Source organism: Homo sapiens, chromosome 12, assembly GCF_000001405.40.
Source record: "Homo sapiens chromosome 12, GRCh38.p14 Primary Assembly".
In the NCBI taxonomy this organism is placed as follows: Eukaryota; Metazoa; Chordata; class Mammalia; order Primates; family Hominidae; genus Homo; species Homo sapiens.
This window is the reverse complement of record NC_000012.12, coordinates 66,152,457-66,170,979: the sequence shown is the minus strand read 5'-3', so window position 1 is coordinate 66,170,979 and position 18,523 is coordinate 66,152,457. Positions and strand designations below refer to the sequence as shown.

Genomic DNA, 18,523 nt, shown 5'->3' with positions numbered 1-18,523 from the left:
CCATTGTATTTGCCACCATCATCTCTCTCTTACAGTAATACAACTTTATCCCCTTTTCTCTGCCTTTGGTAATGGCCCTCTTCAATGTATTCTACTTCTGGCCTAGGATGATCTGGCCTTTGTTTATCTATCCAGCCTCATTCTTTGCCACCTGTCCCCTACACCAGCTGAGCTTCACCGTCTCCCTCTTTGCAGACGTTGGTCCCTTGAGGCCCAGCCTACATCACTGCTCTTTCTCTGGTTGGCTCCTACTTGCCTTTCAGGATTAAATATTACTTCATTCAGAAAGCCTGGTTTATAGAAAGTGCTCAATAAATGTAGGTATTATTATTATTTTAAAATAATAGAAGTAAAAATGCATCCTCGGTGTGATTATTGAAAAAGTGGATGAATGAGATGGGTATTTGTTGAGTGGATGGGTGACTGGGACATGGGTTCTATCACTTTAGCAACTCTCCAAGGTGAAAGGACTTAAAGTGTGTTCAGGCTGGGCGCGGTGGCTCACGCCTGTAATCTCAGCACTTTGGGAGGCCGAGGCGGGCGGATCACGAGGTCAGCAGATCGAGACCATCCTGGCTAACATGGTGAAACCTCGTCTCTGCTAAAAATATAAAAAAATTAGCCTGGCGTGGTGGCAGGCGCCTGTAATCTCAGCTATTCGGGAGGCTGAGGCAGGAGAACCGCTTGAACCCGGGAGGCGGAGGTTGCGGTGAGCCGAGATCGTGCCATTGCACTCCAGCCTGGGCAACAAGAGTGAAACTCCATCTCAAAAAAAAAAAAAAAAGTGTGTTGAGAAAAGTTTCACTTCAGATGACGCCGGGAATGTAAACCGTTTTCTCTTCCATTCTAACTCGGAGCCATCCCCGCTTTCTCCGCCCAGCTGGAATTTTTGAAGCGAGAAAATCGACTCGCTCGGTGTTCGCCCGCCGACGCCGCACGGCTTGCTGGGGCTGGGCTCTTCCTCGCGGAAGTGGGGAGGAGGCGGTTGCGGTTAGTGGACCGGGACCGGTAGGGGTGCTGTTGCCATCATGGCTGACCCCGACCCCCGGTACCCTCGCTCCTCGATCGAGGACGACTTCAACTATGGCAGCAGCGTGGCCTCCGCCACCGTGCACATCCGAATGGGTACGTTGTCCCCTCTCCAGTGCCTCCCAGCCGCTTGTCTGCACTGCTCGGCCTCTAGAAGCCGACTTCCGGCTTCCGAGGGAGAGCGGCCATCTCCTGGGACTCACAGGGAGTGCTCACTGAGCTCCCGGCCCTCCTTCTCCGGGTACCAGAGGACTGGCGCCCTCCTCAGGGAGTCGGGGAGGCGCTTCCTCCCCTCCTAGCGGGTGTGGGAGGGCGCCAGGCCCAGAAGGCTTGCGGCTGTCCTGTGTGCGCCCCGGCTCCCCAGCGGGCGCCGCGGTGTAGGAAGGGACAGATGGAAACCGCCGCAGCCTGAATTTGGCATCTTGAAGTGAAAAGAAACGTCGTGGAAATGAGTCGGTTGATCACTGTGACTGACGTACACACGAGTGGAATCCACGGCCTGATGTTTTTGTTCTGTGGGGTTTCGCGTTACAGGCTTATATTTACCGTCCTGTGCTAGGCTGGAAGCTCCCTGACGGCACTATTTCCTCTCCGCAGGGCCCAGAATGCAACAGGTCTTTGAGGATTATTGAGGAAGTTGCTCAACACAGAAGCTTCCTAAGTCAGTCTAAATTGTGTTTTAAGTTATTACGTAGTAGCCAATGGGCAGAAATTTTTGAATTTAAAATGCTCAGCTTCATCTACGTGGAAGCCATTGCCTGCTCTAGTTTGGTCATTTGATCGCCGAAACAGCCCCAGACTTTCAGCCTGTTTAGGCAGCTGGAACTTGTTCTGGAAAAGGAAAGATGAAGATAGTTCTGATGTGCTAAGAATCTTAGTGCCTAGAACTTGTTCTGGAAAAGGAAAGATGAAGATAGTTCTGATGCACCAAGAATCTTGGTGCCTAGCATTTATATTTTTGGAATTGAATTTTGAAATTATTTTGGCCAGTGAACTCAGCTTTTTTTTAAAAAAAATTAATTGTGGTAAAATACAGGTAACATAAAATTTACCGTCTTAACTATTTTTAAGTGTATAGTTCAGTAGTGTTAAGTTATTCACATGGTTGTGCACTGTTAAAAGAAAAACTTTAGACACATTAAATCTAACGGAGTTTGAGCACAGAATGATTTGCGAATTGGGCAGGTCCCGGAACCAGAATAAGGTTCAGAGTGATGAGTCCTGCCGCTTGGTGGGAGAAAATTTATGGAGAGAGAAAGTAAAGTGAGGTACAGAAAATAGAAGTGAGGTACAGAAAGAGTTGATTGGTTACAGCTTGGTTTTTGCCCGTTTGAACATGGTTTGAACACGTGGCCATCTTTGGCTGAAACTCAGTGATTGGTTCAAGCGTAGGTTACAGCCTGTTTACTAGGTTATAGTTCACTATATACCGAGAACCCCTAGGCTGAACTTAAAATATCTAAAGGCATAGCTTTAGACTAAACTTATATACCATCCAATATCCAGAACTTTTTAATCTTGCAAAACTGAAACTCTATACCTATTAACTCCCCATTCCTTCCTTCCCCCAGTCCCTGGAACCACCATTTCACTTTCTCTCTCTGTGAATTTGGCTACTCTAGATACAATCAGTATTTGTTTTTTTGTGGTTGGCTTTTTTCAATTAGCATAATGTCTTCAAATACATCCATGTTGTGGCATATGTCAGAATTTCCTTTTTTTTTTTTTTTGAGACAGGGTCTCGCTTTGCCACCGAGGCTGGAGTGCAGTGGTGAGATCACTGCTCACTGCAGCCTCTACCTTCTGGGCTCAGGTGATCCTCCCGCCTCAGCCTCTCGAGTAGTTGGGATTACAAATGCAGGTCACCAGGCCTGGCTAATTTTTTTGTACTTTTGGTAGAGACGGGTTTCTCCATGTTGCCCCATCCGATCTTGAACTCCTGGACTCAAGCGATCCTCCCACCTCAGCCTCCCAAAGTCCTGGGATTACAGGCATGAGCCACTGCACCTGGCTGCAGAATTTCCTTTTTAAGACAGTAGTAGTACTTTGTATGTATATACCAAATTTTGTTTATTCATCCATTGATGGACATTTGTGTTGCTTCTACCTCTTGACTACTTTGAATAGTGCTGTCATGAATATAGGTGTGCACATACCTCTTCAAGACCGTGCTTTAATTCTTTTGAATATATACCCAGAAGTGGAATTGCTGGATTGTGTGGTAGTTCTATTTTTAATTATTTAAGGAACGGCCATACTGTTTTTGATAGGGGCTACATCATTTTACATTCTCAGCAACAGTGCACAAGGGTTCACCTTTTTCTACATCCTTGCCAACACATTCCGTTCTTTTCTTTCTTTTTAAAATGAAAATAGCCATCAAATGAGTGTGAGGTGGTATGTCCTTTTGGTTTTGATTTGCATTTCTCTAATGATTTAATGATGTTGCACATTTTAAAAGTATGCGTGTGGGGCATTTATACATTTTCCTTGGAGAAATGTTATTCAAGTCCTTTGCCCAATTAATTTTTTAAAAGCAATTTTAGGTTCATAGCAAAATTTAGCAGAAAGAACAGAGTTCTTATATACCCTTTCTGCTTTTCCCCAAGCCTCTTGCACTAATAACGTTCTGTACCAGAGTGGTATGTTTGTTACAATCAGTGAACCTAGACTGGACACCTCATTATCACCCAAGACCAAGGTTTACGTTAAGGTTCGCTCTTAGTGTTGTATATTCTATGAGTTTGACAAATGTTTAATGACATGTATCCACCATGATAGTATCATACAGAATAGTTTCACTGCCTTCCTCTGTGCTCTGCCTGTTCATCCCTCCCTTCCTGCTGATCTTCTATTGTCTCCATAGTTTTGTCTTTTCCCAAATGCTGTATAGTTGGAATTATCATGTAACCTTTCAAATTGGCCTTTTTCACTTATAATATGCGTTTAAGGTTTTCTACATGTCTTTGCATGGCTTGATAGCTCATTTTTCTTTAGTGCTGAATACTATTCCATTGTTTGGATGCATTACAGTTTATTCATTCACCTACTGAAGGAAATCTTGCCTGCTTCCAAGTTTTGTCAATAAAGCTGCTTTGTAAACATCCATGTGCAGGTTTTTGTGTGGACATAAGTTTTCAACTCATTTGGGTAAATACCAAGCAGCACAATTGCCGTGTTGTATAGTAAGAGAATGTTTAGTTTCATAAGACATCACCAAGCTGTCTTACAAAGTGGCTGTACTATTTTGCACTTCCACCAGCAATGAATGAGAGTTCTTGTTGGTTCCACATACTCGTCAGCATTTGATGATATCAGTGTTTTAGATTTTGACCATTTAATAGGTGTGTAGTGGCATCTCCTTGTTGCTTTAACTTGTAATTCTCTAATGACTTATAATGTTGAGCATCTTTTCATATACTTATTTGCCATTTGTGTTTCTTCTTCCTTTTTCTTTTTCTTTTTCTTTTTTTTTTTTTTTTTTTTGAGACAAAGTATCACTCTGTCTCTCAGACTGGAGTGCAGTGGTACAGTCACAACTCACTGCAGCCTCAATGTCCCAGGCTCAAGTGATCCTCCCATCTCGGCCTCCTGAGTAGCTGGAACTACAGGCACATGCCACCATGCCTAGCTAATTTTTTATATTTTTAGAAGAGACAGGTTTCGTCATGTTAGTCAGGCTGGTCTCAAACTCGTGGGCTCAAGTGATCCACCCACCTTGGCCTCCGAAAGTGCCGGGATTACAGGCATAAGCCACTGTGCCCAGCCAATCAAATGAGAAAAGGGCAGTCTCTTCAACAAATGGTGTTGGGAAAATTGAATATCCACATTCAAAAGAATGAAATTAGATGCTTACCTTAAACTGTATACAAAAATTACCTCAAAAAAGATCGAAGTCCTAAATGTAAGACCTAAAACTATAAAACTCTTAGATAAAAACATAGGAGGACATTGGATTTGGCAATGGATTTCTTGGGCGTGACACCAAAAACAGGCAACAGAAGTAAAAATAGATGGATGACATCAAAATTTAAAACTTCTGTGTATCAAAGAACACATTCAACAGAGTGAAAAGGCCCATAAAATGGGTGAAAATATTTGCAAATGATATATCCTGTAAGAGGCTAATATCCAGAATACATAAGGAAATCCTACCATTCAATAACAAAAAACAACCTGATTTTAAAGTGAAGAAGTCAAGAAAATAAGATAGACTACATACTGGGAGAAAATATTTGCAAAAGATATATCTAATAAAGGACTGTTATCCAAAATATACAAAAGAACTCTAAACGATAAGAAGACAAATAGCCTGAATAAAATACAGCAAAAGACTTGAACACATACCCCACTAAAGAAGATTCACAAGGTTGGGTGCAGTGGTTCACGCCTGTAATCCTAACACTTTTGGAGGCCAAGGTGGGAGAATCACTTGAGCCTGGGAGGTCGAGGCTGCAGCAAGCTGTGATTGTGCCACTGCACTCCAGCCTAGGCAACAGAGGGAGACCGTGTCTGAAAAAAAAAAAAAAAAGGATCATATATACCAGGATTTATTATTGGAGCTCTGTTGTATTCCATTGGTCTGTATGTCTCTGTCTTTATGTTAGTACCACACTGTTTTGATTACTGTGGCTTTGTAATAAGTTTTGAAATCAGGAATGTGAGATCTCCAACTTTGTTGTTTTTTTTAGATATTGTTTTGGCAATTTGGGGTCCCCTGACATTCCATATACATTTTAGAATGGATTTTCTATTTCTGTGAAAGATGCCATTGGGATTTTGATAGGGATTGCATTAAATCTACCCAAAGTAGGTTACTTTGGGTAGTATGAACATCGGTTTTCCAATGTATAATGATGGATGTGTTTCCATTTATTTTTGTCTTTAATTTCTTTCATCAGTGTTTTGTAGTTTTCAAATTTGTCTTCTTGGTTAGGTTTATTCCTAAGCATTTTATTCCTTTTGATGCTGTTGTAAATGGAATTGTTTTCTTAACTTTCTTTCCAACCTTCTCATTGTTAGTGTATAAAAATGTAACTAATTTTGCATTTTAATTTTGTATCTTGAATCTTTGCTGAATTCATTTATTCTAACAGTTTATGGAATCTTTAGGGTTTTCTACATGTAAGGTCATGTTTGTGAACAGAGATAATTTTACTCCTTTCTTTCCAATATGGATGCCTTTTATTTCTTTTTCTTGCCCAATTGTTCTGGCGAGGACTTCCTGTACTATGTTGAATAGAAATGGCAAAAGCAAACGTCCTTGTCTTATTCCTGATCTTAGATGAAAAGTTTTCAGCTTTTCACCACTGAGTAAGACATTAGTGCTGGGCTTTTCATATATGGCTGTGGAGGCCAAAGTAATTCCATCTTGGTTGCTAATCTGCCTTGTTGACTTCTGACTAACCCCAGTTCCAGGAAACCCTCTAAGATTTCCAATTTATCTGTGGTTCCTTGTATAAGAGCATGTACTTACCATAAATCCTGTCCTTAGGTCAAAACAACCTTGATGTTGTCTTCCTTCAGTTGTCCTACAATCCCTTCTGAATCACCCTTTCCCTCTGGTATATAAGCCCTAGGTCAGGGGATTTATGGCCCGTAGATCCACTATCTTTTCTCTGCCTGAGACAGAGACACAGAGATGGCTTCTGTTCTTATGTCCCTATTAAATGTTTTTTTCTAAGAAAATGGATTTGCCAGCCTCTCAGCTTTCTTGGAATTTGGGGGTCGGTTTGCATAGAACTACTACCGTGGAAAAATGGCCTTTAATATGTTGAGGTAGTTTCTTTCAATTCCTACTTTATTGAGTGTTTTTATCATGAAGGTTGTGGAATTTTGTCAAAAGCTTTTTCTGCATCAGTTGAGATGATCATGTTTCTTTTTCCCCCAACATTCTGTAAATGTGCTGATTACATTGATTAATTTTCATGTATTGAACCATCCTCACAGTCCAGGAATACTGGTTGGTGGTGATCTATAATCCTTTTAATGTGCTGTTGAATTCTGTTTGCTAGTATTTTGTCGAGGATTTTCACATCAGTACTCATCAGGGACATTGCTCTGCAGTTTTCTTGTAGTGTCTTTGGCTTTGGTATCAGGGTAATGCAGGCTCCATAAAATGAGTTTGAAGGGTTCCCTCCTCTTCAGTTTTTTGGAAGAGTTTGAGGATTTGTGTTGAAGCTCAGCTTTCTAAAGTATATGTCTCTTAAACCAATAAGACATTCTCAGATTCTGTCTGATAGGATTTGGCTCTGTGTCCGTATCCAAATCTCACCTTGAGTTGTCATTCCCATCATCCCCACGTGTTGTGGGAGGGACCAGGTGGGAGGTAATTTAATCACAGGGGCAGTTACCTTCATGCTGTTCTTGTGATAGTAAGTTCTCACAAGATCTGATGGTTTTATAAGGGCCCTTTCCCCCTTTTGCTTGGCATTTCCCCTTTCTGCCATCATGAGAAGAAGGACATGTTTGCTTCCCCTTCCACCATGATTGTAAGTTTCCTGAGGCCTTCCCCCGCTGTAGAAATGTGAGTCAATTAAACCTCTTCCTTTATAAATTACCCAGTCTCGGGGAGTTCTTTATAGTAGTGTGAGAATGGACTAATACACCATCCATCTGTAAAATGAACAGTGACGATGTGATATATTAGAGTAATTAAGAACTAGTACTGCAAGAAATAGGAGTGCATGAGAACTATTTAACTCATAGATACCCCAAGGAGAAAGAGTCCCTGCTAGTCCCAGGAATAAGGAAGACAGAGAATGGGTCACCTCAGGGAAGGATAGGGATAGAATATGGCAGCCATTGCAGCAAGTTAAATGAGTAGAGGTGGTATCTGGTGTGTGAATAGAAGGCATTCATTAGAGAGGCCTTGGTGACTCAAGGTACCACCATTAAGGAAACATTTGAACCATTAACATACATTTAATAAATAAAAATATTTTTTGGACAGCCCCTTTCTAATGTATGTAAAGACAGTGAGATAAATAAAAGTTTTGGAAGTCACAGTCACTGTTCTTAAGGCATTAGTTAGGTTGGCCACTAGCCAAACTATGATAGCAGCATAATTAAATTCTAAAGCGCCAAGTTTGGAGGGAGTTTGGGGAAGGAATCAAGAGTGTTTTGTTGAAAACAAAATAAAGAGACAAAGCTGTAAATTAAACATTTTGTTTGGGAATAACAAAATTGCAGCTTGGGATATACGTGCAGATTGGGGTGGTCTGCAGTATGTCTGAGGAACAAAGAGAAGGTTGGGGATTTTATTAGAAAGAACAATGTTATGTATCACTTTGCAAGAACCTTCATTGGCACTAGAGAAGCGTTTGGGAACTGGCAAACAACTATTTTGATAGTCACAGCAGATTGTTTCAGCAGCTGCTAGGTAAAACCAGGCTATTCACCCCAAATGAGTTTTCCCCCGGCCCCTCGACTGTGATTTAGTTGGGTATGACATATAATCACTTTTACAGTGTGAACTGGAATAATCTAGGAGAGCAGTAAAAGGAAGTGAAATGCCAGTGGAGGGCTGAGTTTGCATACAGTTGTCCCTCTTTATCTGTGGCAAATGCATTCCATGTTGTGTTAATTCAATAGCTATTAATAAGATAGAACAAATATAACAATATACTATAATAAAAGTTATATGAATTGGTCTCTCTTTCTCAGAATATCTCATTGTAGGTAATATTTCCAGACTGTAGTTGACTGTGGGGTAACTGAAACCTTGAAAAGCAAAACTGCAGACAAGAGAGATCTACTGTTTGTGAAGGGAATTCATGGGGTGGAGATGGGGGAGACAGAATTTGTGATGAGGCATGGAAAGGTGGGAATGGCATGCCATACATTATAGTGAGAAGAATGGCCTTTTTTTTTTAGTGATGTTGGGGAATAGTACAGTGTAGTAGAAAGAGCCCTGGATTTAAGGGTCTGAAAATTAAACACAGTCTTGGTTGACAGCAACGTAGAGAAGCAGGTTACTTTGCCTTTCTGATTCTTAGATTCCTTATCCGTAAAAGAGGCATAGTTGGCTGCTCTTCCAACTATATCAAGTGGTTTTAAGGGTCAAGCAATTATTTTATTTTAAATACTCCTCCAATGTTGGCCTCCCAAAGAGCTGTGATTACAGGCATGAGCTAATGTGCCTGGCCTATAGACTGTTTTAAGGAAAGAATTAATTTTATTCTTGATTTACTTCTACGTCCCTCACATCACTACAAAAGCTGATTGCAATAGCAGATACTCAGTATTTGTTCACCACAAATATTTAAATTATGCAGGAGCATTTTATTAGGAGTCCTTATCACTAGGTTGGTAACTTAAGCTGACTACACCAGTACTAAATAAGCGGTTCTCATTTGTCTTCGGTGCGTTACTACTTAAAAGGTTAAAAATGCTCCACCAAATAAAAATAAATGAAGTGGCTGGGTGTGGTGGCTCACACCTGTAATTCTAGAACTTTGGGAGGCCAAGGTGAGCAGATTGCGTAAGTTCGAGACTAGCCTATGCAACACGGTGAAACCCTGTCTCTATCTAAATACAAAAAATCAGCCAGGTGTGGTGGCATGTGTCTGTAATCCCAGCTACTCAGGAGGCTGAGACAGGAGAATCACTTGAAGCTGGGAGGCGGAGCTTGCAGTGAGCCGAGATCGCGCCACTGCACTCCACCCTGGGCGACAGAGCAAGACTCTGTCTCAAAACAAAACAAAGCAAATTAGCTGCTTGTAATGTGTACATTTCCTGAAAGATACTTTTTGAATAATATACATCTAAAATGTCAAGGTTCATTGGTGGAAAACAACAAATCATGAAGCTACTAAAAAATTATGTGAGAAGGCCCGTCGGGCAAGTGAGGAACGCCTCTGCCGGCCGCCGCCCTGTCTGGGAAGTGAGGAGTTCCTCTGCCCGGCCGTCCAACTGACTGGGATGTGAGGAGCGCCTCTGACCCGCCGCTGCCCGGTCTGGGAAGTGAGCAGCGCCTCTGCCCGGCCGCCACCCTGTCTGCGAAGTGAGCAGCGCCTCTGCCCGCCCCACCCCCTCACCGTCTGGGATGTTAGGAGCACCTCTGCCCGCCCGCCGCCCCATCTGGAATGTGAGGAGCGACTCTGCCAAGCTGCCGCCCTGTGTGGCAAGTGAGGAGCACCTCTGCCCGGCCGCCGCCCTGTCTGGGAAGTGAGGAGCGCCTCTGCTCGGCCGCTGTGCAACCCTCCAAGTGTGAGGTGACAGCCTTGTGTGTGATCTTTCTGCTCTCCCCAAGTTTGCATTTTCGACATTAAAGTTTACTTTTTAATTAAAAAAAATTATGTGAGAATGAATTTCTGAATATAGTCTCTTACTTGAGCACTTTTACAGTGCTGATTAAACTAGTATATATAACTAGTCTATTGTAATATATATGTGATATAGTCTGTTAAGCTAGTTTATTCTGCAGTAGTCTTTCATAGTTTCATAGTATGTATATACCATAATTTATTTAACCATCCCCACTTGATGATTGTTACCTTTTTTTTATTCCTTCAAATAGTGCCTCAGGGAACATCCTTTTATATCTTTGTAAATTTCTCCATTATGACTTTACTATAAATTTTTGGAAGTGAAATGATAGAGTCAAAAGAGTATGTGCATTTTAAATTTGATTGATTTAATCAGTTCTCCAGAGAGATTGTACCTTCAGCAAACAATATATGAGGATACCTTCTGCACCCTCAGCCACACTGAATATCATCAGATTTTTTCATCTCCGGCAATCTGGTAGATCAGGGATGGTGAACATTTTCTACAAAGGGCCAAGTAAGAAACATACTCAGCTTTCTGGGCCATAAGATATCTGTTGCAGCTCCTCAACTCTGCCATTGTGCAAAAGCAGTTGTAGAGGATATGTAAGTGAGTGTGATTGTGTCCCAATAAAACTTCAGTTACAAAACCAGGTAGTGGGCTGGCTTTGGCCCACGGGCCATACTTTGCTGACTCTTGTGGTTGGTAAAAAATGTAATCATGTGTTAATTTCTATGTCTTTTAGCTATGTGAGTGAAGGTGAGCATTTTCCTTTGTTTACAAAACTTGACTAGGCTGTGTCTTAGATGTTAGGGATCTAGTGGTGACCAGTGTCTCAGTCCTCCATAGTGGTCATTTGGATGGGGCAGTAGGAAAGACAGACCCTAAAGAGGTAAGCAATAAATAACCCTCTAGCGCTGAAGAAAAGAAACAGGTGTGAGTAGAAACTAGCGTTTAGGGTGGCAGCTATTTTAGTTAAGGAATGGCCAGAGGAAGAACTCTTAAGGGAGATGGCGGGTGGATTGTATGAGAAGGAGCTAGCCAGGCAGATTAGCTGTCTATTGCTTTGTAACAAATTGCCCCCAAATTTTGTAGCTTAACACAGCAAGTATTTATTATACACAGTTTCTGAGTGTCAGGAATTTGGGAGGGTCTTACCCAGGTAGTTCTGACTCAGGGTCTCTCATGAGGCTCCAGTCAAGATGCTGGACTGGAGGCTCCAGTCAAGATGACTGCAGGACTGCAGTCACATGAAGGCTTGACTGGGCTGGAGGATCTGCTTTTGGGAAATTTCATTCCCATGGCTACTGACTGGAGGCCTCAGTTCCTTGCCACATGAACCTCTCCATAGGGCTGCTTCAGTGTCCTCATGACATGGCAGCTGACTTCCTCTGGAGCAAGCAATCCATGGGAGAACAAGGAAGAAGCCTCAGTGCCTTTTATGACCTAGTCATGGAATCACACACATCATTACATCTTCCTTATTCTGTTAATCAGAAGCAAGTCACTAAGTCCAGTCCATACTCAAGGGGAGGGGATTTAGGTTCCACCTTTTGAAGCTAGTGCCAAATAATCTGTAGCTGTATTTTAAACCACCACAGTCTTCCCTCTGGTCACAAATTATTTGTCTTCTATATGCAGATTAAGATCCTCCAAAATACCCTAGTATAGCATCATCTCAAAGTTCAGAATCTCATCATCTAAATCAACCCCAGGTGTTGTTGAAGCTCACTGGGTGTAGCTCCCTAGGTGTAGTTCCTTAAATACAGCTCCCCTCAAAGACTTTTAACCTAAAAAGACAAATGATCTGTACTGCCATAGTCAACATCCAGTGGTGGATAATATGAGGTGGTATTTTTGCCAATATAATTCTTCAGAAAACTTAGTGGGTGTCTTGTGATTCTTACTGGGTTTCATTCCATTCAATAAAAGCCACACCCAAAAGTGTCTTAGCATGATCTTTGGCTGAGACTGCTGAGTGACAACTTCCTTAAGCTTCTCAAAAGCCCTATTGTTTGAATTTTTTTTTTTTTTTTGAGACAGAGTCTTGCTCTGTCACCAGGCTGCAGTGCAGTGGTGTGATCTCCGCTCACTGCAAGCTCTGACTCCCTCCGACTCCCTGGTTCAAGCGATTCTCCTGCCTCAGCCCGAGTAGCTGGGATTACAGGCACATGCCACCACACCCAGCTAATTTTTGTATTTTTAGTAGAGACGGGGTTTCACCATGTTGGCCAGGATGGTCTTGATCTCCTGACCTCGTGATCTGCCCGCCTTGGCCTCCCAAAGTGCTGGGATTACAGGCATGAGCCACTGCACCCGGCCTGAATGTTTTTTTGAGGCACAATTTTGGATATTTGTGAGGTCTTAACTAAGGATTTTACAATTATACTCTTTATGTATTTTTTTGATTACCTGAGTCAGAAGCCTTTCATTTTTTTGTTTTTTTTTTTTTTGTGAGACGGAGTCTCACTCTGTCGCCCAGGCTGGAGTGCAGTGGTGCAATCTCGGCTCACTGCAAGCTCCGCCTCCCGGGTTCATGCCATTCTCCTGCCTCAGCCTCCCGAGTAGCTGGGACTACAGGCGCCCGCCACCACGCCCAGCTAAGTTTTTGTACTTTTAGTAGGCACAGGATTTCACCGTGTTAGCGAGGATGGTCTTGATCTCCTAACCTCGTGATGTGCCCACCTTGGCCTCCCAAAGTGCTGGGATTACAGGCATGAGCCACCATGCCTGGCCCATCTTTTTGACATTTCTTCCTTTAGCTGTGTATCTCTTCTATTTTAGTATAAGCAGCAAGAAGCCAGCAGGTACATTCAACACTCTGGGAGTCTCCTTAGTTTGTTCACCTACTTCATTAAGCACATTTTCTACTTTTGATGTTACCATAGCTAACACTGTTGCTAAACTTTTTCTGAGTATATAAGCATTCTCTTTCCTCCAGTTTGCATAGAATTTTACCCACTTTCCTTTAAGCCCTCACCTGCAGGAGTCTCAAAGGCATTAACTTTCTACAAACAGTTTCTTCAAGGCTCTTTTAGCCTTCATCTCACAGATCTGCCAGCTTTCATCTATTGCCTGATTCCAAAGGCTCTCTCCCATATTTTAGGTGTTTGGTATGGCAGCGCCCCACTTCCAAGTACCAAGATATATATTCTGTTTGTGTCACAAATTACCCTAAACCTTATTGGTTTAAAAGAATAAACATTATCTCAGTTTCTGAGAGTCAGGAATATGGGTAGTTTTAGTTTAGAGTTTGTCCTAGGTTGTGGTCAAGATATTGGCTAGTGCTGGTCATCTGGAGGCTTGACTGGGGGTGAAGGATGTGCTCCCAGGCAGGCTACTCACAGGGCTATTCATAGGAGTCCCTAGTTTCTCACTGGCTGTTGGCAGGAGACCTCACTTTCCTCCCACATGTGTTTTTCCATAGGGTGCCCTTAGTTTCCTCACAACATAGCTGGCCTTCCCTGAGTATGCATTCTTAATGGGGTGCTATTGACCCCATTAGATGATAGTTGGATGTAAAGATCTAAAAAAAATCTTAAGATTTTATAATGGTGTATATCCTTCCAAAGGGCGATGGTACAACAGATATATAGTATATTTGTGGCATTAAAATTTTATTGAGGGGGCTATTAGGAAAAAAGTACCTAGAAGGCTACTTAGGCGGGGAATAATGAAAACAAGGTTGAGAAACACTGTCCCAGAGGAAATGATCCAAGAAAGAGCAGGAGGAAGCCATAATCCCTTTTATGACTTGGTCTTAGAAGTAGCACCCTGCCACTTTTGCATCATTCTTTTTGTTAGGACTCACTTGAAGGGAGTGTCAAAGAACTGTGACTTACCATAAACCACTACTTCATGTAAAGAATGATAAGGGCATTCCAAGTAGAGGAAAGAGCAAGTGCAAAGGCCCTGAAGCGGGAAAGTGACTAATGTGGGTAAAGCATGGTGAGGAAGAGAGAGAGTGCTGAGATGAGATTGGAAAGGTTCTACATCATGTGGGACCTTGTAGGTCCTATAAAATCTTTCACATTTTATTTTAAGTGGAACGATTATTTAAGTATTTAAGCAGAGTCACATGATATGGTTTACTTTACATAAAAATCACTTTGACAGAGTGTGTGGAGAAATAGGTGGGACAAGAGTGAAAGCATGGGGACCAATCAGAAGGTTCCTCCAGTGGTCCAGGTGAGAGATTAGGCACACTTTGACTAGGGAGGTAACAGAGGAGACCAAAAGAGGCAGATACGTTGTACTTTCAAAGGTAGAACTACAGTAGTTGCTGATAGATTGGGAACAGGGAGGGGGTAATCAAAGATGACTTCTATGTTTTTGGCTTGGATGATGTTGGTGCTGGTTATCGATGAGAACACTGGGAGAACAGCAAATTTGGATAAATGAAGAGCTCCAGTTTTGGCCATGTTAAGTTTTGAGATGTCAAATAGAAGGGAAGAAATCAGGACTCAACAAAAATTGGAAAATCTTGCTGTTTGACTAGTATTCTTTTCATATTGAATCTTTTATATTTTCCTGAAAGCTGTATATGCATGTCCTTTGCTACTTTTTATATTATTCACAATGGGTGTCAATACTGCTTTTGCCTGGGATTTGGCTTATGATACTAAAGTATAGAAAAAGTTATGGTCTGGAATATCTGCATAAGGAGAATTTTTTAGTATGAACTTAAAGGCTTAGCACGAGTTTCTTTAAAATGTTTTTAATTGCAATAGTAATACATACTGCTGGTATCTAAAAAATACAGATTAGTAAAGAACTGAATATGAAAATTATCCTTAGTACTACTGCCCAGGGTATACGAACACCTGGATGTATATTATTCTAGTCTTTTATTACATATGCACTTGTGTACATATATACAAATAAACATTAGATCTTAATGTGCACATTGTTTTGAACTGTAAATCAGTTTTACAAAATGGTAAGAAATAACACTAATTTCCACTGCTTGAGAGAATATATATCATATGGATTGGGTTTGAGTTATATGAGGTACATAATAGGGTATCAAAAGTAAAGAATACATTCCAGGGCCAGTCACGGTGGCTCCTGCCTGTAATCCCAACACTTTGGGAGGCCAAGGTGGGTGGATCACTTGAGCCCAGGGGTTCAAGACCAGCCCGGGAATGTGGTAAAACCCCATCTCTACAAAAAAATTAGCTGGGCGTAGTGGCATGCACCTGTAGTACTAGCTACTGGGCAGGCTGAGTTAGGAGAATTGCTTGAGCCCTGGAGATTGGGGCTGCAGTGAATCATGATCATGCCACTGCACTTAAGCCTGGGTGACAGAGTGAGACCCTGCCTCTCTCTCTCTCTCTCTCTCTCTCACACGTGTGCACACACACCCCATCCTGGTGTGGGCCTGTATTCCCAGCTGCTTGGGAGGCTGAGTCTAGAGGATGGCTTGAATCCAGGACATGGAGGCTGTAGTGTAAAGAATATGATTTTTTTTCTCATAGCCCAGAAAATCCCTTGCAGGTGTAATGGCTTGACCTTTGGTTTAATAATTAAATTTGCAGAAAGATATCCCAAATAACATTGTCCATGCCAGTAGTATATTCTTTACTCTGCTTTTATGAAAAAGATAGAAATGACCTCCCAAAGCATTCAGACATCAGGGCCTTTTTGAGAAAGTAAGTCATAGATCTGTTGTGGAGTTGAGAACTGTTTATCTCTAAGCCAAAATACAATGGACACTCAGTGTTCTTATGAGTCAGTGGTTAAATCATATGCCCAGTAAAATCTGTTTAGGACATCAGGAAAAACTCACTCTAGATTTTGGAAAGAGTGCCAGAGGGAAAAATTAAGTTTAATATTTAGGCATTTTGATTATTAAATCCTTAGTATTCATGAAAATTCCCTTATTCCTGTGAAAGATTTTGTTTTTTTAACTTGATATTTGGCTGACATGCCATCAAAGCACTTCACCCTTCCTTGGAAAGCCAGGTCTTTAGTAGGAATGTTTTTCAAAAGGAACATCCACCATCTAATGCTCATCTACCATGAGCATTGCCATGATAGGCAAGAGACAACATCACATTTTCTTTTGTTGGGTAAAAGTCATTCAACATGATTTTTATTGCCTGCCTAAGCACAGTCCTCTAAGCAGTGGCTCCATTATTCTGTTTCATTTCAGAATAATACTTTTTCTCTTCCCTGACTAGTAAAATTTACCCTTCATAAATTTAATGAAAGTTTATTTAAAAGCAAATAAAATTTAACGACTGTTTATGCAATGCCATCCACTAGGCTGAGTGGTGGGGGTAAGGAAATGAATTAGGCTTCTTCCCAATTATTAGGGAGCTTTCGGTCTTTACAGTCTAATGGGGGTGAAGGACAAGTAGACTTATCAATTATAAAGTGATTAATGGTATGTTTAGGGTTCCTCAGGAACATGAAGGAGAAACATCTAATTCAGAATGCGGAACTGAGAAAGGCTGCATCTTGAAAGATGATTTGTAGTTAGCCGGAAGTGTGAAGGGAGAGGGATATCACAGAGAGAAGGTGGGAACTGTTATTAATGTTTTATTTCTGAAGGTGGTAATGAGTTCTTGGAAGTTCATTGTATTATTTGTATCACTGTATATCAGAAGACTTTAATAATAAGCATTGAATCATTAAGCCTTAGAGGTGATTTCTGGGTATTGATAACAAAATATGAAAGGATTTTCTATTGTATAGAAACTAGAGGCAGGGGTACTATAAATGAGAAATAATAATAGATGAGTGAAAGTAAGTTTATATATTACTTGCCTTTTCAGGATAAGTTTCATTTGGGGGAAATAGTTTTACTATTTTTGAAATTAAGACATAAAAAAACTTAACGTTTATATGCTTTCTATTTCTCCTTTTCAGATTCAAGATATAATCATTCTTTTAAAATGTTCTGCTTTTAGTCTTTTGCTATGTTGTATCCTGCTGTGTACAACTAGGCATTTAATACATTTTTCATTTTGATGAAAACATTTACATTTTGGCCCACTAATTTTTTTTAGGCTCATGCTTTTTGGAGAGAGGTTTAGATATCTCTTACAATTTTTAAATTATTTTGGAAGCTTTGTATTCTTGTCTAGTTTTAGTTATACATTACATTATTAGGAGGAAAATTAGGAAAGAATACGTGTAAAAAACAATTTTTTAAAGAGGAAATTTGATTTTACTGTTCTATGATAAATGGTTAAGAAAATAGTAATGTAATTTTTTTTCTCTTTTAGCCTTTCTGAGAAAAGTCTACAGCATTCTTTCTCTGCAGGTTCTCTTAACTACAGTGACTTCAACAGTTTTTTTATACTTTGAGTCTGTACGGACATTTGTACATGAGAGGTAAGGTAATGAGATGGTAATGAATAATTTTCAGACATTGCATATGATCAAAAAGGCATATTATAAACAAAATCCACTTTTTTCTATTAACTTTTGAGGTTAAAATGTAAAAAAGGTTCATTTACTCTTATAAGCCTGATTAGTTTTGTTTTTGATGAAGAAAAATACTCCACAACATGGTATTTACCTCTGAACTTTTTAGCTTTAGTTTCTTAGGGTTAAACCCTTGGTAAAAATTAAGAATTTTTACTGCATGCCATTTTTAAAAGTCTTAAGTTTTAAAAACTTTATTAGACTATATTCCCTGTGCTCAAAGCCTAAGACAGTACTTGAAAAATAAATGTGCGTTCATTTTAGTTTTGGCTCATGACTAGCATAATTTCACCAAGAAGTTTTCAAAAGAGCTCCACATGATTCATCCCTGATCTTTAATCAGGGATGAATCATAATTATTTCCATGATACAGTTTTGTTATATTAAAGGAAAGGAGAACTAATGAATATTTTCATAGAAGTAGAGAATTTCTGTCCTCCCTTCCCTTCTCCCCACCAAAGGGGAGTCTTGAACTATTAGTTTGCTATGTGAGGTAAAATTCTTTAATTTAAATTACAGCCATATGGCAAATATCCTAAGAAAGTAGTTGTTATTTTTAAATTTCTTTATTGTATAATATTAGTATACTAATTGCAAACATTATTCAAATGTGATAGAAGTTTATATGGTAAAAAGAAAAAGTTTCCCCCATTCATTTTGGGCTCTTTTCTTTGTCTTGAGGCTCCTTTCTACCTTGTACTCCTCAAATTTTCCAGATATAAAATAATTTGATAGTTTGGTGTGGATCATTCCAGATTTTTTCCCCTGTACTTTCATAAACATATAAAAT

General features: G+C 40.5%; 1 protein-coding gene across 4 annotated transcripts in view, besides 3 other annotated features; it reads left to right on the top strand.

Moving 5' to 3' along the window:
* Positions 726–1,250: an enhancer, noted in NCBI's record as "H3K27ac hESC enhancer chr12:66563510-66564034 (GRCh37/hg19 assembly coordinates)". NCBI's record gives its function as "activates a minimal SCP1, AML or CMV promoter by ChIP-STARR-seq in naive H9 embryonic stem cells {active_cell/tissue: H9 hESC(naive)}" and the evidence as "EXISTENCE:reporter gene assay evidence [ECO:0000049][PMID:30033119]".
* The window catches only part of TMBIM4 (transmembrane BAX inhibitor motif containing 4), a 34,151-nt gene continuing 16,611 nt past the window's right edge, over positions 984–18,523 (top strand). For 2 of the 4 annotated variants that reach the window (NM_001282609.2, NM_016056.4), the window contains exons 1-2: positions 984–1,125; positions 17,532–17,640. In NM_001282609.2, the coding sequence (NP_001269538.1) occupies positions 1,029–1,125; positions 17,532–17,640 (206 nt within the window). In that variant the 5' untranslated portion in view covers positions 984–1,028. Of the gene's footprint in view, positions 1,126–10,674; positions 10,816–17,531; positions 17,641–18,523 lie in introns of all 4 variants that reach the window. The other 2 variants (NM_001282606.2, NM_001282610.2) reach the window with 2 other exon arrangements.
* Positions 1,003–1,082: an enhancer, noted in NCBI's record as "active region_6614". NCBI's record gives its function as "activates an Ori minimal core promoter by ATAC-STARR-seq in GM12878 lymphoblastoid cells {active_cell/tissue: GM12878}" and the evidence as "EXISTENCE:reporter gene assay evidence [ECO:0000049][PMID:35858748]".
* Positions 1,733–1,832: an enhancer, noted in NCBI's record as "active region_6613". NCBI's record gives its function as "activates an Ori minimal core promoter by ATAC-STARR-seq in GM12878 lymphoblastoid cells {active_cell/tissue: GM12878}" and the evidence as "EXISTENCE:reporter gene assay evidence [ECO:0000049][PMID:35858748]".